This window comes from Homo sapiens, chromosome 10 (genome assembly GCF_000001405.40).
Source record: "Homo sapiens chromosome 10, GRCh38.p14 Primary Assembly".
NCBI lineage: Eukaryota > Metazoa > Chordata > Mammalia > Primates > Hominidae > Homo > Homo sapiens.
In genome coordinates, this window is record NC_000010.11 from 17,869,251 (window position 1) to 17,894,194 (window position 24,944).

The 24,944-nt window shown below is 38.5% G+C and overlaps 1 protein-coding gene across 1 annotated transcript in view; it reads left to right on the forward strand.

Annotated features, from left to right (window-relative positions):
* The window catches only part of MRC1 (mannose receptor C-type 1), a 101,817-nt gene that overhangs the window by 59,903 nt on the left and 16,970 nt on the right, over positions 1-24,944 (forward strand). Inside the window, exons 13-22 of the mRNA NM_002438.4 lie at positions 996-1,123; positions 1,598-1,685; positions 2,732-2,876; positions 4,534-4,575; positions 5,840-6,003; positions 8,650-8,717; positions 10,471-10,571; positions 11,275-11,420; positions 11,817-11,931; positions 16,019-16,185. Coding sequence (NP_002429.1) covers positions 996-1,123; positions 1,598-1,685; positions 2,732-2,876; positions 4,534-4,575; positions 5,840-6,003; positions 8,650-8,717; positions 10,471-10,571; positions 11,275-11,420; positions 11,817-11,931; positions 16,019-16,185 — 1,164 coding nt within the window. The remainder of the gene's footprint in view (positions 1-995; positions 1,124-1,597; positions 1,686-2,731; positions 2,877-4,533; positions 4,576-5,839; positions 6,004-8,649; positions 8,718-10,470; positions 10,572-11,274; positions 11,421-11,816; positions 11,932-16,018; positions 16,186-24,944) is intronic.

The window sequence follows — 24,944 nt, forward strand, 5'->3', positions numbered from 1 at the left end:
GTTAAGAAAATAAAATCTTATATCACAGTCTAGCAAGTTGAGGCATCATAGGAGTCTGGGATATACTGATGTGGATATTTACTTAAACACCTTTGTCCACATAGCTTGAGTCAAGTTAGGGTCAAGGTGAAGGTTGTCTTCGGCTGCTTAATGACAACTTGGGCAACCATAGTGCCTTGGAAGCAAATTTTTTTTCCCACAAGGCTGTGATGTGGGAATGATGAGGAGTAACGCATGAGAATTAGAAAAGTCAATGGCCACGATTACCTCCTTTCTATTTGCATACTGGTGGGTGTGTCCCAGACCGTCACTGTTGACTGCATTTCACTATTCTCTGCAGTCCTCTGGATATTATGACACAATTCCTAAATCATATAATCTTTTAAATTTAATTTTGCTCAGAACTCCCTGCCAGATGGTTGTCTGTGTTTGCATGTGCTTCAGTAGTTGTTAAGATGTACAACCATAATGAAAAATACAAGGCGGTATTGAAGGACATTACCAACAAAATATTGAAACATTGCCAGGTTATTCATTGTTTAAGCTGAACACACTAACAAACTGTGCACAATTTTAGAAAAGTTATTTTCCTTCAAATTCTTCTTCTTCATGTTTACTTTATCTGTATCAAAAGTGTCTTTCATTTCTTTCCATCTCAATGCCACTTTTTACACTTAACCAAATTAATCTTGTCTTCCACGAAGAGCTGTATACATAACCCATATGCCTAAAGCTCCTAAGATTTTCATCTAATTTCTCTTGTGCTATAAAATAATTTTATTTTCTAAGGTTTTCTCAATAAAAGAATCCCCCAAGTTTTGTTACCCAACTATTCACTCATAAACTGATTTTAAAGCAAAAGAATTACATTGTTTTGAGTCATTACACTGTTTTGTTTTTCTGTAAATGAACTCTCATCAAAAGTAAATATTTGTTTCTCTTAATTTGATAAACTACAAAGCATAAAATAATTTTTGTAACCATATCATCTTCAGCTGTATGCAAAAGGAAAACATGAGAAGAAAACGTGGTTTGAATCTCGAGATTTTTGTCGAGCTCTGGGTGGAGACTTAGCTAGCATCAATAACAAAGAGGAACAGCAAACAATATGGCGATTAATAACGTAAGTGGTATTTTTATGGATTCCTCCTTTTTGTTATCTAGTTGGTGCTTATGAAGTTGAGAAAATTTGTCTGTTTCTGAAATTGTTGTCTCAGGATGCTAGTTTGAGCACCTGTATCATCTCCCAAATCTGTGGGCCCTGTTTGATCTAGTTTCGCTTTCAAATCCTTTAATTTTATAAGTGTAAATTCTGCTATGACTTGGTCTATAAAAGTTCAAGATGCTTAATACGTATTTGTCTTTCAATACGATACCATTATTTACTCTCAGGCAGTGGTCTGTTTTTAAGATATTTATGGGATATACCAAAATGCACATCTATTGCATAAGTCTTCTATTTAGCTGTTAAATCTCTTTACTTGTGTACTATTAATTTACGTTTTGGAGGTAACTTTCAAATGTGGTTAGTCCTCATAAGTTACTGAACTTGCTTCATGCAATAGCATATGCTTTCTTTATGTTTTGGATTTCATAGAGCTAGTGGAAGCTACCACAAACTGTTTTGGTTGGGATTGACATATGGAAGCCCTTCAGAAGGTTTTACTTGGAGTGATGGTTCTCCTGTGAGTAATTTTACTTACTATATAACTTTCTTACTTTATCGTGTATTTATTTTGATGTTGTCTTTTTTTTTAATGCAAACTTTTAATAAGACAGTTCATTATGATAGCCACTATCCTGCCATGCAAAATTGATGTGCAGGTAAACTTCCTAAAACTTGCGTGTTTTATACCCTCTTTTAGATCAATAGAAATGGAAACATTTTTGATATTCCCACTAATAATGATTAGGCTTCGTCAGACTTCTCCATTTCCAGGAATGAAGAAGTGAGAGATTCTGGCACGTGCTGGCAATATTTAGAAGCCCTAGTCGTCACAAGAAGTGATTTTGTATAATTTCAGTTCTACCTCTTAATTTCAGTTCTGCCTCCACCAGCAACTTTTCAAGGAACTTGAGTGAGGTGGTTTATTTGATGGCTTCATTGACATTTGGGTTTTATATTTACATCTCTGGAAAACACATCACCGTGCTTAGTCCAGAACCCCGTGGGTTATGATTCCACACTGAAAACTCCATAGAGGACCTAGACCCAGGGCCTCCGTTTGTTTCTACTGTTCATTTTGGCAAAGTTTAGTAGCTGTTAGCAATATTTTCTGGGTCTTTTTCTTTTGCAAGAAGAATAAATTGTATTGCTTTATCCTACACATTTAATAAAGAGAAAACTTCCAATAACGCACTGAAATATTATCCTTTCCATTGGGTTGTAAATTTAGGAACTCCCAACACTGAGAAGTGGAACTTTGTTGCCAAGTTTTTCCTGTATATAAATCCCCATTTGTGGCCCTTGGATCCATTCTATTTAATAAGAGTAAAGAAAATGTTATAATAATCAATTGTGTACGTTATTCAACATCACAAGGTTCCATGTAATGAAAGCTGTTTCTTTTCTACTACGTTTGTGAACTGTGCTTTCAAAGCAAAGCTATTGTGAAAAAAAAGTAAATTGATAAAACAATGCAAACATATCTTTCGTTTTCTGTTTGGATGAATGATTGGCATTGGCTTGATACAAATGGTTAATGGTTGTAGTTTAATGTTTCTAATATAGGTTTCATATGAAAACTGGGCTTATGGAGAACCTAATAATTATCAAAATGTTGAATACTGTGGTGAGCTGAAAGGTGACCCTACTATGTCTTGGAATGATATTAATTGTGAACACCTTAACAACTGGATTTGCCAGATACAAAAAGGTATGATCACCTCTTCTCTCCTTTATCTCAGCTTGGTAGACTAACCTCCTGACACCCCAGAATCTTTCCTTTATTAGCAGAAGCAAACAAACAAAATAACAAAATCAGGAAACTGTCAGTGGCCATCATTGCATAGGATAAGCATGAAGTTGATAAGCACAGATAAATGTGCCAAAGGAACAGAGAAGATCAAAAGGCCACCTGGGAGTTCTGGGCAAGAGTCACGTCCTTCCAAATAGTTCCCACGAGCAGCTCTGATCCTGGCCCAGGTTCCATAGCAGTAGAAGTTTGTGAGTGTCCTATGCTGTCAACAGAATAATGCAAATGCAACTTCTGTTTTGGAATTTTCACCTTCTGACCTACGTTAATCATCAAATAGTTGAACATTTCCCCAAGTCTGAATATTCTGAGTATTGATTTCTCAGATAAATGTTCCACACAGTGAACAATCACCCTGGAGTGGCCTCTGATGCTATTAGCCCCACCATGTTATTGATGGCCAAACAATACGCATGCTGACAGCCATTATCTGTGGCCTCTGATGCTATTAGCCAAACCATGTTATTGATGGTCAAACAATACGCATGCTGACAGCCATTATCTGGGACTCAGAAAGTTCTGCATATTCAAGTCAGGCCAGAGGATCCGAGTTCTAATGTTAAGAGAAACCAACACACCAACAAGCAAATAAACAAACCTACCCTTGAACCAAAATATACATCAATACCTCCGTTGCAAATGGATAAATGGAACTGCATTGCCCTCTGCTGTTGGGGAATCTTGGCAACCATTTCAACTCTATGGCTGGAGATGACTTACTGCTCTGTTTATTTTCCATCCTCCTGCTTAGATTATTGCTTTCAAAGTTTCCAGAATAGAAGAAGTCAGTGGTGGCCAGTTGTCCTTTAATGGTCTCTTATCTACCAATGGCTAGTATCCTTTTTGCATTATCGTAGCTCTACTCTTGTAGATGTTAAATTCATTAACCCAAAAGCTAGGTAACCTGAGTCCCTTTATCAGCTTTCAACAAAATCCAGATATATCATTAACTAATTGGAAAGAAAAATATTTCATTTAACTTTTAGTAAGCCATACATTTAAGAAAAATAGATTTTCTTAAGAAAATACATTTTCTATTTTATAAATAAATAGTTCACATTTAATCGTTTCAAATCATGAAATCATAAGTCATTTCACAGATTATAAGATGTCTGGAAAATGAACAGCTGTTAAACACCTATTACATACCAATAACTCACATATTTTCACAAACTAATCTATTTGGTTTAGTTGACAAAATTAAGGCTAAATGATTTAAACCCAGGCTTGGGATTTGAAGCTAGGCTTTCTGATTCTAAAACTCATGATCTTTTTTTTTTTCCTTTATATAATGCTACTTGTGCCTGAAAACTGTGGTGGTTGTAATTTCTGTTGGCTATTATTGCACCTAATTTGTTTAATTCTTCACTTCTTATTCTCTTTTCCTTCATTCTGCCCTCCACAACATGACGTGCAAATAGGAGAAAGAAAGGGAAGGGAAAAAAGAGAACAACTAAGTTTTTAGCAATATTGACTCATGAAAATAGTGACAATAGAAGGAAATGTAATTAGCAGAAGTTTAAGTACACTTTATTTCTATTTTTCTCTTGTTTTACAGGACAAACACCAAAACCTGAGCCAACACCAGCTCCTCAAGACAGTAGGTGTTTTCTTATTTTCTGATCTCTGTACTGATAACCCTTTCTCCGCCTCTTTCCTTTCTCAATGAAAAAATTACTTGCCCTAGGAAGGTAGAGAGCAGAAGTCCTTAATAACCTTTGAGTGAGAACGTCATGGAAATTTGGGTCTTCCTCTCCAGAGAGAAGCTCATATGCCCAAACATAAGGCATGTTAATACAGTTTCTCAAGGGTTCATGAATCAATTCCAAGGTCCCAGGTTCCTTCTTCTTTAGCACATATATTAGTGTCCACAGGCTGCTGTAACCAGTTACCAGGAACTTGGTGGCTTAAAATAACATGCAGTTACTCCCTTACAGTTCTGGAAGTCAGAAATCTGGAATCAATTTCACTGGGCCAAAATCCAGATGTTGGCAGGACCACGCTCCCTTTAGGGGCTCTGAGGGAGATTCTCTTTCCTTGCCTTTTCCAGCATCTAGAGCTACATTCTATGAACTCATCAGCTCATGACCCATTCCTCCTTCAAAACCAGCAATGTAGCATCTTCTTCCAGTGATCACATTGCCTCCTTCTCTTGTAGTCAAATCTCCCTCCGCCCCTCTGCATAAGGATACTTGTTACTACATTTAGGGCTCACCTAGATGATCCAAGATAACCCTCCTATCTCAAGATCCTAACTTAATCATGTCTATAAAGTCCCATTTTCCATGTAAGCTAACATTCATAGGTTCCAGGGGTTAGGAACTAGATACCTTTGGGAGCTTTTATTCAGCCTACTGTAGCACGGAAGTATGGAATTCCATGGGTTGGAGAAAGCCTGAGGGGCCCACTTGATACGTGAATTCCTTGCTTCTACCCTGAAGCACCCAAGTGCATCTATTCGAAGTTTTGCTTTTTTTTTTTTCTTATACTGGGGTGAAAGCTGCTTTCTCATAGTTCCCACTCCTTTGATGTAGAAGATTATGGGTGCATTATACATAAATCCTCACAGCTATGCTATTGTATTGATGAAAGTGACACCCGGAGTTCTTTTACCCAGTAATGACATATGGAACATAGCTGGGAATACAAAATGGGTCCTTTTTACCAGATTGGTAGAAAGTGGATATTTGGGCTGGGGTTCAGATGTCTGTATTTGACGTGGACATTCTGCTGTTCTGGTCTCTCAGAGTTGCAGATGCCTCTTGATATAGCAGCTCTATCCCTTTCACCTTTGTGTGCTGTACACACCAGATTCTTGAATTTGTCTGCATAAAACTCATTGCCTTTTCTCATTAACTTTTCAGATCCACCAGTTACTGAAGATGGGTGGGTTATTTACAAAGACTACCAGTATTATTTCAGCAAAGAGAAGGAAACCATGGACAATGCGCGAGCGTTTTGCAAGAGGAATTTTGGTGATCTTGTTTCTATTCAAAGTGAAAGTGAAAAGAAGTTTCTATGGAAATATGTAAGGACATCAATCATTTTTTAAAATTTTAATAGTTTTTGGGGAACAGGTGTTGTTTGGTTGTATGGAAAAGTTCTTTAGTGGTGATTTCTGAGATTTTGGTACACCCGTCACCTGAGCAGTATACGCTGTACTGAATGTGTAGTCTTTTATCCCTCACAACCTTCTTACCTGTCCCTGCATCCCCAAAGTCCATTGTATCATTCTTATGCCTTTGCATCCTCATAGCTTAGCTTCCACTTATGAGTGAGAACATGAGATGTTTGGTTTTCCATTCCTGAGTTACTTCCCTTAGAATAATGGTCTCCAGTTCCATCCAGGTTGCTGCAAATGTCATTATTTCATTCCTTTTTATGGCTGAGTAGTATTCCATGGTATGTCTATACCACATTTTCTTTATCCACTCATTGGCTGATGGGCATTTAGGCTGGTTCCATATGTTTGCAATTGCAAATTGTGCCAATATTATAACGTGTGTGCAAGTGTCTTTTTCATATAATGACTTATTTTCCTCTGGGTAGATACCCAGTAGTGGGATTGCTGGATCAAATTGTGTTTCTACTTTTAGTTCTTCAAGGAATCTCCATACTGTTTTGCATAGTGGTTGTACTAGCTTACATGCCCACCAACAATGTAAAAATGTTTCCTTTTCACCACATCCATGCCAACATCTATTATATTTTGACTTTTTAATTACAGCCATTCTTGCAGGAGTAAAGTGGTGTCACATTGTGATTTTGATTTACATTTCTCTGATAATTTGTGATGTTGAGCATTTTTTCATAGAACATCATTGATTTAAGGATGGAACAGTGACATGTGATAAACAAAGTGTCTACAATTGGTACCCCCTAGTAGAATTTCTAATTATGTGCTGAATTTGCACCTCCAAAGGTCAAGGTAAAGATGGGAATGCAGGAGAAGGAGGAGGTCATAACACAAGTTATGCCCTATTGTTTAAATATTTAGTGCAGAATTGCAGAACTCAGAATCTTTTTTTTTTTTTTTTTCTGAGACAGTGTCTTGCTCTGTCGCCCAGGCTGGAGTGCAGTGGTGTGACCTCGGCTCACTGCAACCTCCACCTACTGGGTTCAAGCAGTTCTCCTGCCTCAGCCTTCTGAGTAGCTGGGACTACAGGCGCACACCACCATGCCTGGCTAATTTTTGTATTTTTAGTAGAGACAGGGTTTCACCATGTTGGCCAAGCTGACCTTGAACTCCTGACCTTAAGTGATCTGCCTGCCTTGGCCTCCCAAATTGCTAGGATTGCAGACGTGAGCCACTGTGCCCAGTCTCAGAACCATTTTTTAGCTTGGATTTTGTGAAGATCAGTACTTGATGGCTTTGAATTCACTAATTTGAGTTCACTAATTTGATTTGCAAAGATTATAATTCTTAACTAGTTGTTATATGTCAGTCCTGGACCCTTTGTGTATCATATAGTTTAATTTTTAATTTAAAAATCTGGCTTACATGGCCCAAATTGTTAGCTATATAACAGAGTTTGACTATTTATTATAATCATCTTTCTTGGTTGTAACAAAATTGTGATACCATTGATATACCTATCACTGAAGGTATAATTTATTTTTTCCAAGAGTGCTTTGCTCAGTATCTTTCTGATTAAAATTCTTCATGGCCTCATTGCCAGAGAGGAGGTAACAGAGAGAGCAGGAAAAAATAAGTTGAACAGTACTGAAAGAATAAAAATTCATTTGATTTATAAAGGTACTAGAGTATACTCTGACTTAACATCATTTTGTGGATATACCTTGCTTTGAAACTCTCAAGATGTTTTCTAATATTGCACAACTATATATATATATTATGTATATATATGAAAATCAAATATATCTATATATAGTGAAATGGTACATTATAATGAAATTAATACATTTTGGGGTTCCTTTCCTTGTTCATGAATACACATGTTCTCCCAAGTTTGAAGAACAGATATATCCTCCTGGCTCATACACAGATATAAATTATAATATATATGTAATATATACATAAAATATGTATATAAAATAAATACTTAAATAACATGAAATAAATATATGATATATGTAAAATATATATAGAAAATATATGTAATACATGTATAATATATTTTATATTATACATATCAATCCTCTCACCTCAGCCTCCCAAGTAGCTGGGACTACAGGTATGCACCACCATCTCCCACAGGGTGACTATTTTTCATATATATATTTTGTATATATATTTGACATATAGATTCATTTTACATATAACTGATTATTCTTTTTTATATAAAAAAGAAAAATTTATACACAATTTAATAACTTGAATTTGTAAAGCAAATACCTTAAATCATTCTCCATAATGTTAAATGCCTACAGTAGTTACATTGTTGAAGACATTCTTTAAAACCAAGTAGGCAGTCAGGATTGTAGGACTATGCATCAAATAAAAGACTCCTGCTTTACAAGTTCAAATTATTAAATTGTGTGCATTTTTTTTTATTTCTAGGAAGAACATAATATAGAATGTACTACATTTCTGCAGAAATTCCTCTCTAGATAAGGTTTCGATTAGGCTGCCTCATTAACATGTATGTTTTGTTTAAGAACTTCCTGATTGTGTGATTCTAAATTAAACTATACGTAAACTTCCATGTTTCAGGTAAACAGAAATGATGCACAGTCTGCATATTTTATTGGTTTATTGATCAGCTTGGATAAAAAGTTTGCGTAAGTAAATCAAGCTAAAAACAACTTTGCTTGGGTTAGTGTTCTGACCAATACCTATGAGTTATTTTGAGATTTTTCTTTGTGGAATGCATTTTTAAAAATCCTACAGCATTCTCAATTGAAAAAGCAACTTGAAAAAAGGAATTTAAAATGATTCTATTAAATATTTTCAGCACTATAAATTCCAAACAAACAACTCAAAATTGGATTCAGTTTTGCAAAACTACACTTTTCTTTGTTTTCAGATGTCATCATCTGTCAGTAAATCATCTACTAAAAAGTTGTTGTTTTAGACATATACAAATACTGAATTTATTTAAAAAATTATAATCCCATCTGGGATGATAACCTTGCTAACCTTGCTGCTGGGAACCACAGTATCCTTTCCTATTGCCCTGTTCCCTGTGTTAGCAGCACTATTTTGAAGCACACTTTAAATCTGCAGGAAATACATTCCCTTTAAAAGGGTGATTGTACCATTTTCTATTAGATATAGGAGCCAGAAAAAGCTGTAGGGACATGAGAAAATGAATACATTTTATGTTCTTTTTTCTTGTACCTTAATACATATGTCCTCTAGAGTTTGAAGGGCAGATACGTCCTCCTGGCTCATGTGCAGATTTTTTTAGCCTTACATGTTCCAGGGGACTGCTATTGTCATCTTTGAGCAATAGAGACCTAAATTCAAGGTCATTATTTTTATTATTATTATTTGAGAAAGGTCTTGCTCTGTTGCCCAGGCTGGAGTGCAGTGGGGTGATCACAGCTCACTACAGCCTCGAAATCCTGGGTTCAAGCAATCCTTCCGCTTCAGCCTCCCAAGTAGCTGGGATGACGGACATGCACCACCATACCCCACAGGGTCATTATTTTTAAAGAGTAAAAATGTTGGATCTTGCTTTGGACAAGGAACGCCATTTTATCATTTCTAAAGTGAAAAGGTCAAATTTCATGATCTCATGGCTGGTCCCCTTCTGGCTCTCACAGTCTCTGAATTTCTATAATTTATAGACATAAGTTTAGCCCACCTACATTACAAGAAACTAGAGTAAACACGAGAATCAGAGAATGAGTCTAATGAGAAATTCTATACACTCTGCCTCTCCATGGGTGGTTTGGTTTTGTGGGAATCATGCCCGGGGAGTACGATGGGAGGATTTTTGTCTCTGGCTCACTTCCAGAGTAATCAGGGTCTCCACTTTGCGACTAAAGGTGGTTTCTTCCTGGGAGGGAAAAGAAGGTAGCCTGGACATGGCATCAGGGTTGCTACTGCGGAGCATGATGCATAGGACACACCACATACTCAGGCATTGGGGGTTTTCCTGCCACTCTCTGGAGGTCTCCCTCTTCTGGGTTGACTTGTCCTGTCCCACCAGTAGGCTGTAGCCAACTATTCTTTTTTATGAGGTGGAGCTTTGCTCTTGTAGCCCAGGCTGGAGTGCAATGGTGCGATCTTGGTTCACTGCAGCCTCCGCCTCCCAGTTCAAGCGATCCTCCTGCCTCAGCCTCCTGAGTGGCTGGGATTACAGGAGCCCACAACCATGCCTGGCTAATTTTTTTTTAATTTTAATTTTTAGTAGAGATGGAGTTTCCCCATGTTGGTCAGGCTAGACTCGAACTCCTGGCCTCAGGTGATCCACTCGCCTCGGCCTCCCATGGTGCTGGGATTACAGGCGTGAGCCACTGCTCCTGGCCTGTATCCAATTAGTCTAATGATTGGATCGTTTCAAAATGCCTGAATTTTCTTTTCCAGTTGGATGGATGGAAGCAAAGTGGATTACGTGTCTTGGGCCACAGGTGAACCCAATTTTGCAAATGAAGATGAAAACTGTGTGACCATGTATTCAAATTCAGGTAGGCAAGTCATGCATATTGAATTTGCTTTGTGGCGTGGCGTGTCATTTGCCACATCCCTAGACTAAAAGTAGCAAGTTGTGTGCTTACATCAGACAAGATAAGAAGAGAGAATAAAGGAGAATTCTAATTTTGGCAGCCTAACAGTTCAACTTGTAACGAGAATAGATGCTTAACATTTACACTAGTAAATGACATAGTTAATCTTCTCACTTCTTCCCAAATTAGGAACCATTTTTTCATGTTCTGATTTGAAAAAACTTATCCAGAATTTGTTTATCTATCTCCTTTATTTCTCTCTGGCTCCTTATTATTCTGCAAAATGGGAATAATGACACAATCTATCAATTGTTGAGAAGATAAAATGAAATCATACATCTAAAATACTATGTAGATGCTCGGTGTATACAAAGTTTGCTGTTGTTAGATTATTATGATTAGCTACTACCATTTAGGTAATATATCTGCAACATCATGTACATGTTTGGTTCATAGGATGCTCTCTATAAAGTGGAACTATTATTAGTTTAAGTAAAACAGCAAAAGGATATTGCATGGATACCTCTAGTCACATATAAAAATAAAGTTTGATTATAGTCTAAATAAGTTTTGAGAATTCTTGTAAAATAGAAATATATTTTTTAAAATAATGTTTTAAAACATAAACATATGAATCTAATTTAACTATTTCTCTCTTTGCCAGGGTTTTGGAATGACATTAACTGTGGCTATCCAAACGCCTTCATTTGCCAGCGACATAACAGTAGTATCAATGCTACCACAGTTATGCCTACCATGCCCTCGGTCCCATCAGGGTGCAAGGAAGGTTGGAATTTCTACAGCAACAAGGTACTAGGAAAATTAGTTGCAATCTTGGCACTGATCAGTATGGAGAGTGATGCAAATCTTTCAGCTCAAAGTTAACTTTTGCTAGCCTCATTACTTTAGAAAATTTTTGGCAAGAATAGGTGAAAATTCGCGTGACAAACTCTTTATGGAAATTGAGAGCATACTTGAGATATTATCCACATGGATGTATCCTTTCTCCCAAGGGAGAATAAAACTTTGCAAAGAAAGTGAGTGGGTCATAAAACTAACAATTTTTTAAATCTCCAGTTGGTGGTGAGAAAATTCTGATTTAGCTATAATCTTCATGAATAATTTTGCTTTTTGTAGAGCAAAGTTGATCATCTTTAGTTAACCCCTGCAGTTTTTCTTTTTTTCTCTGCCCCTCTTCCATCCCAGTGTTTCAAAATCTTTGGATTTATGGAAGAAGAAAGAAAAAATTGGCAAGAGGCACGAAAAGCTTGTATAGGCTTTGGAGGGAATCTGGTCTCCATACAAAATGAAAAAGAGCAAGGTAGGCAGGCCATTTTGCAATTAGTTGTGTGTTTAAATATGGAATTCTGACTGCAAAATGGTAAAATATTGCTGACAGTAACTGACTTTTTGGTTTTCCAGTGTAAAAGCTAAAAAAGTGGAAAAAATCAAATGCTTATTGAAAACTATTTTATTCCATTATAGCACGTATTAAGCTGTTTATTTTATATAAAGTCATCACAACTCTAAGAAGCAGGTATTATGACCCCATTTTGTGAGTGGAGAAATGGTGCATAGACAGCTTTGAGTGAAGGAGCTTGCCTGTTAAGCATTAGAGCTGGGAGTCAAACCTAGGTTTGTCCAGCTTTCTACCAAATCAGTTTGCTCCCAAAGAGTCAAAGAAGAGTACTTCTAAGAATAAGATGTAAAATTGCTGCTTTCCCATTTATTGCTCTTCTAGTCACTTGATCATAGAACTTGTAATGCAGCAAAGTTGATATTTTAAATATGAACTTTGAACAAATTTTGATTTTTTTTTTTTTTTTTTTTTTTGGTAACAAGGTCTTACTCTGTTGCCCAGGATTATAACTCACTGCAGCCTCGAACTCCTAAGCTCAAGCAATCCTCTTGCCTCAGCTTCCTCAGTAGCTAGGGCAGGCCTGGGCCACAATGCTCGCCTAATATTTTTTAAAGTTTTTTTTTTTTTTTTTTTTTTTTTTTTTGGTAGAGATAGAGTCTCACTATGTTGCCCAGGCTGGTCTTAAACTCCCATCTCAGCCTCCCAAAGTGTTAGGATTACAGGTGTGAGTCACCATACCTGGCTTTGAAATATTTTTTGATAAAACATGAAAATAAGCCAGAACTATGAAGGAGGATATTCACCATATCCATAGAGCAGATGGTAAAATTCATGATGTTGTCGTCAAAAGAAAGGTACCCACCATTTCTGCATGATCTTTCTGTGGAGGCATCCACTGAAATAGGTATTAGGTTAAATTGTGACTTGCCCTTTGAGGAGGGTGTTGACTAACTGCAGGAGATTAAGACTAAACTGATGAAGGGTTTCGAAATCACTGCAAGTGAGTCAGGGTTGAAAGACCCTCAAGTTATACAGCTTGGAAAAGAGAGGGTGTGGACTTTGAAGGATCATCCTGTGTCGCCTCAGATAGAAGACGTGGAACCAATGAGTGATGGTCACAGGGAAATAGATTTAGGCTCAAAATTAGGGGGCCATTGTTACAGAACAATGGCTGGTATGTTGGCTGGTATGTAGTATAGAAGATGCTCAACAGTTGTTTGTTGTATATATAACTTTATAAGGACATGGTAGGAGACATATGGACTGAATGTTATGTAAGCTCTCTTTTGGTTCAGAGATTCTTTGACTTCTAGAATCATTTATTTCAAAAATGATATGAGAAAGAAAATAGAAGAAAAACATAGGAAATAAGAAAGGCACTAGAAACATGTAGGGTGCTCTCTCAAAAGTTTATTTGGCTTTGTGAATGCCACCATGTGCTCTCTGAGAACACATTGTACAATAAATCCCAACCAAGCTTTTACCGAGAACATTTGACAAGTTGAGCAATTTGTCAGGCACTGAAAGAAAAGGGTCAAACCAAAGCACACAGTACAAGAACATAACATTCACATTTCTCCAACTGGCCTACCCCATTTTGGGCTTAGCTACCCAGCAGAGAAACACAATAATTGATTTCTCCTCTTAACCACAAAGTGCTGATTCCTGGCATAGTGAAATTGAAACTGGATAATAGAGATGTGCAGAAGGAAACAATTTGCAGATAAAATAACATTATTCCTGGCAAAACAGGCACACGTAGTTGAATTCTTATTGTGGTTGTAGGCAGAAAAAAAGTGCTGAATCTTGGCAGGTAGAGCTTTTCCATGTTTCATTTCAAGCTGGGGATGAGGCAAAAGTTATGATCTTATTTGGAAAACAAAATAAAACCAAAACAAATATCTACCCATGCTCTTTTCTTTTTAGAGATAGGGTCTCGCTTGATCACCCAGGCTGGAGAGCATTGATGTGATTATAGCTCGCTGCAGCCTCCAACTCCTGGACTCAAGTAATCCTCATGTCTTAGCCTCCCAAGTAGCTGGGACTACAGGTGTGCACCATCATACCTGACTAATTTTTAAATTTTTTTGTAGAGAGAGGGTCTTGCTATGTTGCCCAGGCTGGCTTAAAACTTCTGATCTCAAGTGATCCTCCCACCTTGACCTCCCAAATTGTTGAGATTACAGATGTGAGCCACCATATCTAGCTGTACTCATGCTGCTTTTTCTTTTCTGAAAAACGGTGGAAGAGTTTTTTTTTTTTTTTAAATCCTTAATTAAGAAAAACAGAAGTCTCTGAGACGGTAGCTGCCTCTTCTACTCTGCAGAAAGAGTAAGCGTATAGCAATGGAATTGCTTGAAATTTTATGAGATTGTTTGTTCATGAATACACAGATAATTGCATCTCTGCAGATTTTTATTTTGCATTTTCTATAAGTAACCCTGGATGCTTAGTCATTCTATTTCCTATTTATGTTCAGCAGATGTGTTTAAGTGTAAATGTTTGCAAAGTGTTGTTCAGTAGAGTAGGTACTTGTTGGTCTAGGAGTTAATGACTCAGGTGGTGGTGTTGGCCCCAGATGGCAGCTGCCATGGGAGGCCTGGAGGTACGCTGAGGGAAGGGGAGGGGCACATGTACAATTCAACCTTTTATGTCTCTTGGATGTTTGCCACCATCCTCTTGGCCACAGAACTGATAAGCAAGAAGCCATATTCTATAGTCTCATCCAGTGATGTGAGCACTTTATTACTAATTGATTTGTGTAGAGATGGGGTCTCCCTCTGTTGCACAGGCTCAAGTACAGTGGCACAACCATGGCTGTCTGCAGCCTCGACCTCCTGGGCTCAAGTAATCCTCCTGCCTCAGCCTTTTGAGAAGCTGGGACTACAGGCGCATGACACCGATGCTTTGTTAATTTTTGTATTTCTTTGTAGAGACAGGGTGTCGCCATGTTGCCCAGGCTGATCTTGAACTCCTGGCCTCAAGCAATGTTGCTGTCTCTGCCTCCCAAAGCACTAGGATTATAAGCACCAGCCACCATCCCCAGCCCCTGATGTGAGCATTTTAGCATCAGGATGGTCCCCTAGATCCAAGCACACTGAGTATATGGGCAACTGATCTCAGGGATTTCTCCCCCACCTCCCCAGGAGGAATCTCAATTGGGAAACTTTTGGTTTGGCAATCTGAGATACTGATAATTTGATAGCTGTGTTAGTCTGTTCTCACACTACTATTAAGAGCTGCCGGAGACTGGGTAATTTATAAAGGAAAGAGGTTTGATTGACTCACACTTCCACATGGCTGGGGAGGCCTCAGGAAGTTTACAATCATGGTGGAAGGGGAAGCAAACATGTCCTTCTTCACATGGTGGCAGGAGAGAGAAGTGCAAAGCAAAGCATTAAAAGATAAAACCATCAGCTCTTGTAAGAACTCATCTCATTCACTATCAGGAGAACAGAATGGGAGAAACCTCCCCCATGATTCAATTACCTTCACCTAGTCCCACCCTTAATACATGGGAATTATTACAATTCCAGGTGAGATTTGGGTGGGGACACAGAGCCAAACCATATCAACAGCCTAATGATTCTTGTTTTGACAGTTTTTATTTTTTCAGAACTGTCTGGGTTAAGAGTCCTTTGTCCCATAGTTATTATATAAATCAGATTATCTTATTTACAGAATCGGGACAGCTGCTAATCCATACGGTGACTTTTTATGAATTAGAAAAAGTTTTGGTTGTAGGCAGCCACGACCCAGATAGGGGCGCACAGAATGGAGCCCTTGGGCAGGGTGCAACTTGCACAAGTGTCTTCAGTGGCCTAGATAAAACCTAGACTTTTATTGTATGAAACTTTTCAAAGTCCAAAGCGCAAGTGACAACACAATGCTGATATTAGAATGTTTGTGTGTTCATGGTAGGTATTTTTAAGTAACAATGACACAAGTCACATGCTAAATATTTTGAAATTCATATATTTTGAATATTTTCCATATTTTGAGTATTAACTCTCAAAGTTTAAAATTATATCATGAAATTTTCTTTCAGCATTTCTTACCTATCACATGAAGGACTCCACTTTCAGTGCCTGGACTGGGCTGAATGATGTCAATTCAGAACACACGTTCCTTTGGACGGATGGACGAGGAGTCCATTACACAAACTGGGGGAAAGGTTACCCTGGTGGAAGAAGAAGCAGTCTTTCTTATGAAGATGTAAATATCAGATTCAGGTCACCTCTCTACACACCATCAGCTTGCACAGGGTTATCATCTTATTGATTACTGTTCCATGAAAGAATCTACCAGAATACTCCTTGATCTGTTCTATGCTTGCAGATTTTACCTATTTCAGACTGAGCTGACTTTGAGAGAGGGAGTATAAATTCAGTTAAAAAATCTTTGGCTTGAGGAAGTGGCAATAGTGAGAGGTCAGGAAACCCAGTTCCATTCTGAGCCTAACTTGCAGTCAAAAGAAACACTTCAACCTAGAGTTATCAACTTTCTTTGTATCACCTTCCCCTTATTCCTTGTAGCTGTTTTAGTATTTGGGGTGTAGGCCTGGAAGCTACTACTGCTTCTAAAGATCATATGATCATCATCCATCATGATCATGATCATGATCATGATCATGATCATGAGCTAATATTTGTAGACTGCTTATTATGTGCCAGATGCTTTTGTACATTAACCTGGAAGACAGATTGCTACTTTATTTTACTACTTTTATTCTTATATAATTGAACAGCCAACTTATCAACATCAACACCATGTTAGGGATTATAAAAAGTGTGAAGAAATAGAAGATTTTGTTTTTACCTTAAAAGTGTGTACACTTAAACTAGACCACAAGTCTTATATAAGAAGGAAGATAGGAAAGAAATGAACATGTCTAGTGACAGCATCAGCTATAAACACTGTAGCAGCTAAGAGGAAAGAAACTCACTGTGGGATGGGGTGATTTAATCAGTTGACATACGTCTATGGTGTCCTATGTGCTAGACACTGTCTGCATGACATGGTGGAGGGAAGAAATATAAAAAAGAATCAACTATGGGTGTTTTCTTCCTTCCTTCCTTCCTTCCTTCCTTCCTTCCCTCCTTCCTTCCTTCCTTCCTTCTTCTTTCCCTCCCTCCCTCTCCCTCTCCCTCTCCCTCTTTCACTGTCCCTTTCCCTCTCCCTTTTTCACTCTGTCAATCTCTCAACCTATTGCCACCCTGTTACCCAGGCTGGAGTGCAGTGGCATGATCTCGGCTCACTGCAATCTCCACCTCCCAGGTTCAAAGATTCTCCTGCCTCAGCCTCCCAAGTAGCTGGGATTACAGGTGCCCACCACCATGCCTGACTAATTTTTGCATTTTTAGTAGAGATGGGCTTTTACCATATTGGCCAGGGTGGCCTCCAACTCCTGACCTGAAGTGATCCACCTACCTTGGCCTCCCAAAGTGCTGGGATTACAGGCATGAGCCACCACGCCCATTCAGGTTTTTGTTTCAATAAATTTAAAACATAATAATTAGGGGAACTTAGCAAAAGGTTGAGAAAGGCCATGTTAGATGGTCAAGGTGGGCAGCCTTCAAGCAAGAGATACATGATGTGTTTGGGCAAATGGAGTAAATGGCTTTGAATACAGCAGGAGTTTTATCCAGAAAAAGAAGTAGGAGTAAGCTTCAAAAGGTGGGAAATAGAATTTAGAGAAATGTAGATGCCCTGTGATGGAGTCTGAACTTTGTCGAATAAGCAACAACAACAAAAAAAGCAGTGGAAAAATGACCTATTCAAAATGGCATTTTTATGACCATTAATAATTTGGTAGCTATTTGCCGGGTGAATACATTCTGGTGATGGAGCCAGACAGCAGCCCATAGGGTTGCTGTGTCTGTGAAGTAGCCATTCTTTTCTTTCTTTACTTCTCTAATAACATTGCTTTTACTCTAGATAAAACATAACTGGTGGTCAGGAGATCGAGACCATCCTGGCTAACAGGGAGAAACCCCGTCTCTACTAAAAATACAAAAAAAATTAGCCGGGCGTGGTGGTGGGCGCCTGTCATCCCAGCTGCTCCGGAGGCTGAGGGAGGAGAATGGCATGAACCCCGGAGGCGGAGCTTGTAGTGAGCCGAGATCGCGCCACTGCACTCCAGCCTGGGCTGCAGAGCGAGACTCCGCCTCAAAACAAAACAAAACAAAACAAAACAAACAAACAAAAAACTGGTGATGGGTAAATAATTTTCTGTGGAGAAATTCTTTCATTCTCATGACACCAATGAGGGCTGAAAGACTTACTGAAGAAGCGAAAGTAGAATGGAGCGAGATAGCATTAGCTTAGATTTAATGGATGAGAGGTGAATTTCTTGTAAATCAAAAACGTTCATTATTGCACATATTTTTGTTGTTTCTAGAACATAAAGAAAGGCAGAAACAATAAAAACAAACTAACAAACAAAATCTGTAATCTCACCAATTCAGAAAAACAACACTGCTCATTTTTGTTGATTTTTTCTCCCAGACATTTTCATAGTGCATATAAACAGATAAAGTTTATATTTCACAAAAATGGAATCAAAATACACATAATGCTTTTTATTTTATTTTATTTTTTTGAGATGGAGTCTCACACTGTCGCCCGGCTGGTGTGCAATGGTGCAATCTCGGCTCACTGCAACTTCCACCTCCCGGGTTCACGTGATTCTCCTGCCCCAGCCTCATAAATAGCTGGGATTACAGGTGCACACCACCACACCTGGCTAATTTTTTTTGTACTGTTAGTAGAGATGGGGTTTCACTATGTTGGCCAGACTGGTCTCGAACTCCTGACCTCGTGATACACCTGCCTTGGCCTCCCAAAGTGCTGGGATTACAGGCGTGAGCCACCACTCCCAGCAATAATTTTTTAAAAACAATTTCAGGACTTTAAAATGGAGAGGATTAAATATAGTTAGAAAAAGAGAATGGGAGAGAACTTTTAATATGTGTTTTGTGGTGGAAATATGCTTGGATTGTAACAGGTTTTCTGGATCAGAGACTCTGAGCCAGGATAATGGGGGGTAAAAATAGTTAAGAAAGGAAATAGGGTGAGTGGAGAACTTTTGAAATGTAAGTTTCAGGTTGCCTGATAGTTGCAGCACATGGGATGAAGACACTGCAGGTTGACAAGATGTCTGTGGCAGGAGTGTAGGCTGTGATTCACTGTAGCTCAAGGGATGGGTTAAAGATGTGCTGACTTCACAGTGACATGTCTCTTAAGTACTTTCATTCAGAAAAACTGCAGTCACCTTTTTTTGGTTGTCTTTGTGTGTCACTATTAGTGTATTATTATTGACTTAACATTTTCTTTAATTTCTAGGTATTTTGGAATTCTCCAACTGTTACTGATTTCTAGTTTAATTCCATTGTGGTCTTAGAGAATAGTTTATGTGTTTTCTATTCTTTTAAATTTGTTAAGGCATGTTTTATGGCTCAGAATATGGTCTGTCTTGGTGAATGTTTCATGTGATCTTGAGAAGAATGTATATTCTACTATTATTGGAAGAAGTAGTTTACAGATGTCAATGAGATCTGGTTGATTGTTGGTGCTGTCCACTTTAACTATGTTCTTACTGATTTTTTGCCTGCTGGATCTGTCTATTTTTGATAGAAGAGTATTGAAGTCTCCAGTCCTAATCATGGATTTATCTATTTATCTTTGCAGTTCTATCAGTTCTCACTTTACATATGTTGATGCTCTATTGTTAGCCACATACACAGTAGAGACTGTTATGTCTTGGTGGAGAATTGTCCGCTAGATCATTACGTAATGTTCCTCTTTACCTCTGGTAACTTTCCTTGCCCTATAGTCTGCTCTGTCTGAAATTAATATAGCTGGTCTAGCTTTCTTTTGATTAGTGTTAGTGTAGCGTATCTTTCTCCATTTTTCTCCACTTTTAACTTATGTGTATCTTTATATTTAAAGTGAATTTCTTATACCAATATCTGAGTCTTTGTCTATTAATTTGTGTAGTTAGACCATTAACATTTAAAATGATTGTTGATGTAGCTGGGTTAACATCTATCATATTTGCTATTGTTTTCTGTTTTTATTCTGTATTTCATTTTTTTGTCTTCCACTCTTTCTTGCCTTCTCTGGTTTTACTTCAATATTTTGTATGATTTTATTTGTTCTCCACTCCTAGCATACCAATTATACTTTAAGAAAGCTTTTTTCTTTTCTTTTTTCTTTTTATTACAAATAAAGGCGGGGTCTTTCTGTGTTACCCAGGCTGGTCTTGAACTCTTGGGCTCGGGCAATCCTCCTACCTTGGCCTCCCAAAGTACTGGGATTACAGGCATGAGCCACCACTCTTGGCCTAAAACAAAAACAGAAACAAACTTTCTTTAGTGGTTGCTCTTGAGTTTGCAGTATATATTTACAACTAATCCAAGTCCTTTTTCAAACAGCACATAAGAAAGCATCTCCTATTTCTTCCTCCTTTCCCGTGTAACATTGCTATAATTCATTTCACTTATCCATAAGCTATTATCACCAAATACGTTATCACCAAATACATTGCTGTCCACTTTTTACATTAGAGTCCTTAGTATATTATTCATAGTTGTTTAACAACAACTATAGTTGTTTGAAGAGACCGGTATCTGTTAGATGAATTCAGAATAAGGAAAATGAAAAATTCTATTTTTCTTTCATTTATTCCTTCTCTAATGCTTTTCATTTATCTATATAGACCTGAGTTTCTGACATATATAATTTTCCTTCTTTTTTCCTTTTAACATTTCTTTCAAGCTAAGTTTACAGGCAACAAATTTTCTCAATGTTTGTTTGTCTGAGAAAGTCTTTGTTTTCTTTTCACTTCTTAAGGACAATTTCACTGGAGACAGAATTCTAGGTTGGTGGGTTTTTTCTTTCAGCACTTTAAATATTGCATTCCACTCTCTTCTTGCTTGCGTGGTTTCTGAAAAGAAATCCAACGTAATTACTATTCTTGCTTCTTTAGAGATAAGATTTTTTTTTTCGTCTGGCTTCTTTCAAGATTTTCTCTTCATCTTTGATTTTCTGCAGTTTGAGTGTGATGTGTTTAGATGTTGTATCTTAGTATTTATCCTGTCTGATGTTCTCTGAGCTTCCTGGATCTGTGATTTGCTGTCAGTCGTTAATTTTGGGAAATTCTAAGTCATTATTGCTTCAAATTATACTTCTTCTGTTCCTTTCTCGTTTCCTTGGCCACACCCAGTGAGCCTATCAGAGATAGTCTTCATTTCTCTTAAGGTGTTTTTGATGTCTAGAATTTCCTTTTGATCCTTTCTTAGCATTTTCATCTCTCTGCTTACGTTACCTACCCAGTCTTGCTTGTTGTCCACTTTTTACATTAGAGCCCTTAGCATATTATTCATAGTTGTTTAAATTTTTGATAATTCCACTGTCTTTGTCACATCTGTGTCTGCTTATTATGCTTGCTCTTCGCTTCAAACTGTGTGTGTGTTTTTAAAAAATCTTTTAGTGTGTCTTATATTTTTATGTTGAAAGCTGGGTATATATTACAGTGCAGGGGTCTGCAACCCGTGGGCCACAGATGGGTACCAATCCATGGCCTGTTAGGAACTGAGCCTCACAGCAGGAGGCGGGTGGCAGGCGAGTGAGCTAAGCTTCATCTATATTTACAGCCGTTCCTCGTCACTCGCATCACTGCCTGAGCTCCGCCTCCTGTCAGATCAGCAGTGGCATTAGATTCTCATAGAAACGTGAACCCTACTGTGAACTGTGCATGCGTGGGATCTAGGTTGCACGCTCCTTATGAGAATTTAATGTCTGATGATCTGTCCCTGTCTCCCATTACCCCCAGATGGGACCATCTAGTTGCAGGAAAACAAGCTCAGGGCTCCCACTGATTCTGCGTGATGGTGAGTTGTATCACTAGTTTTATTTATTTATTTATTTATTTATTTATTTATTTATTTATTTATTTATTTTTGAGATGGAGTCTCACTCTGTTGCCCAGGCTGGAGTGCAGTGGCGCGATCTCGGCTCACTACAAGCACCGCCTCCCGGGTTCACGCCATTCTCCTGCCTCATCCTCCCGAGTAGCTGGGACTACAGGCGCCCGCCACCACTCCTGGCTAATTTTTTATATTTTTACTAGAGACGGGGTTTCACTGTGTTAGGCAGGATGCTCTCGACCTCCTGACCTCGTGATCTGCCCGCCTCGGCCTCCCGAAGTGCTGGGATTACAGGCGTGAGCCATTGCGCCCGGTGCTCATTATTTTATTACATATTACAGTGTAATAATAACAGCAGTAAAGTGCATAATAAGCGTAATGCGTTTGAATCATCTCGAAACCACCCTCCACCCCAGTCTGTGGAAAGTTTGTCTTCCATGAAACTGGTCCCTGGTGCCAAAAAGGTTGGGAACTGCTGACGTAGTGGATAAAGGGAACAGAGGTAAATAGACATTTAGTGTGAGGTTTCATGTTTACTTAGCTACGAATTAGGCTGTGTTTGCTGTTTGCTGTCACTTTAGGTGTCAGAGGTTAAAATCTCTGGTGTCCTTGTTTCTGTCTCTCCTGTTGTCTTTGGGTTCTCCTAAAGACTTCTGAAATAATGTCAGAGAGGCACAGTTCTTCGGCTGTATCTGCCTGTTATCATACGGGAGCCCCAAGGATATGGTGGTAAGATATTGGGGAGGGGAAGTATTTCGTAGTCCTATGATGGGGACTCTGACTTTTAGGGAATCTGTGCTGTGACCTTCGAAAGTGCTTCTCGGTTTTGTTTTGTTGCTTTTTCATTTTGGGTGAGACAGGAAAGCTAGAGAGGCTGGAGTTGAGTATTTCTTTTCTCCTAGGTTAGTTAACGTGTGGTGAAACCGCAGTTAGTTAGGCACTGGTAAACTTGTTGCTCTTGAGTGCTGGTCTTATTAAGAACAGAATGAATGCTCTGTCGTATTTTAAAATGGCTCTTTTCCCACCTCTCCTGTTGGAAGCAAGAGGAAATTTTTCTCCAGTCTGCACTGTAAGAATCTGGTAGGACTCATGGAAGGAAAACTCAAAAAACTCTGCAGTCTCTCTAGGACTGCCTCCCCATGCACTCCTCTGCCAACAGTTTTTAATTTTCAAACTTGTCCACACTGAACCTCCAGCAATGTGTCAATGACATTTAGTATCTCCTACCTCAATACTTGTTCCCTTTTTCTGCTCCTGGGCTTCTGCTCTGGTCAATTCTTATTCCCTATATCCATCAGTCCGTTTCTCCAATCTGGGGGGCAGCTGTTTGTCTTGTGACCTCCATTTTCCAATGCATTTAAGAGAAGTTGTTGATGTTCAGCTTTTCTCGCCATTTTCTTGCATTGTGGTTGGGAGTGACAACTTCCAAGCTCCTTACATATCCAACTAGAGACTTAAGTTCTCAGCATTTTCTTTAAGTGTGCTCCTTTTTTTTGTTTTGCTTAAATTTACTTTAAAAGAAAACTTCTTTTTAGAAGAAAGTAGAAAATTGATATAGTCACCATAAATAGAAGATAACTGGCCAGGCGTGGTGGCTCATGCCTGTAATCCCAGCACTTTGGGAGGCTGAGGTGGGCAGTTCACGAGGTCAAGAGATCGAGACCATCCTGGCCAACATGGTGAAACCCCATCTCTACTAAAAGTACAAAAATTAGCTGGGCGTGGTGGCACACGCCTGTAGTCCCAGCTACTCGGGAGGCCGAGGCAGAAGAATTGCTTGAACCCAGGAGGCAGAGGTTGCAGTGAGCCAGGATTGCGCCACTGCAATCCAGCCTGGCGACAGAGCGAGACTCCATCTAGGAAAAAAAAAAAAAAAATAGAAGATAACTGTGAAAATAAACACAGTGAAATTTGGGGGCTCCAGCAAAAAAGCAAAGTGATTTGACCAGGTCTCTTGTCTTTATTTCTGGCTTCCCTCAGCCCTTCCTTCCCTCCCTCCCTCCCTCCCTTTCTTCCTTCCTTCCTTCCCAAGGTCTTGTTCTCTCAGCTTGGCTGGAGTGCAGTGGTATGGTCATAGCTCACTGCAGCCTCAACCTCCCAGGCTCAAGCGATCCTCCCACCTCAGTCTCCTGAGTAGCTGAGACCACAGGCATGCACCACCATGCCCAGCTAATTTTGTTTATTTTTTGTAGAGTTGAGGTCTCCCTATGTTGCCCAGGCTGGTCTTGAACTCCCAGGCTCAAGCGATCTTCTAGCCTTGGCCTCTCAAAGTGCTGGGATTACAGGTGTGAGCCACTGTGCCTGGCCTTCTCTTACTTTAAATGAGCAAAATGCCATATTTCAAATTAAAGTGTAGATAGTACATTGAAATGGGGCAGGCAGCATGTGTTTCTCTTACCTCTACTCCAACAGGACCAGGTATGAGGATTAGAATGGAAATAATGGCATTTCAGAAAAAAAAATCTGAGATATATTTAGTACATAAAGGAAAGAAGGATTTGGAATGGCAAACACATTCACAACCAAACAAATATAATATTGTTCCAGTCCTGGCATACTCCCCTGTAAGACTATAAATAAGATGTGAAACTTTCTGGCTATACCAGCCACATACTATGAATCTATAATAATACTTTTATAAATTTAGCAATGAAATATATAGATCATGCTCATTTCCCTTTAAAAATATGGTACCTACTTTTGGGTTTGAATACTGGTAATTAGTATGGAGAGGATACTGTGTTCTCCTAGTTTCTTTGATTTCTAAGTTTTTATAGTGTTGGATAAAAGGTCTGATAGCAAAATTTCTCAGTCCTGTCTCCAAAATTTATCCAAATCGGTTGGGTTTTCGATTCATATAGTGAGAGTTCAAATGTGGAGGATATGCATAGTAGGTAGAGTTGGGTAGAAAGTAATGATGGATTGAGCATATCTTAAGTTAGGACAATCTTAAAATTTGGAAATCAGGGATAATGAAAGATTTTTTTGCTTATTAATGAATTGATTTCAATAGTCGTTGATTCATGATTGTTTTCTTTTTCTTTC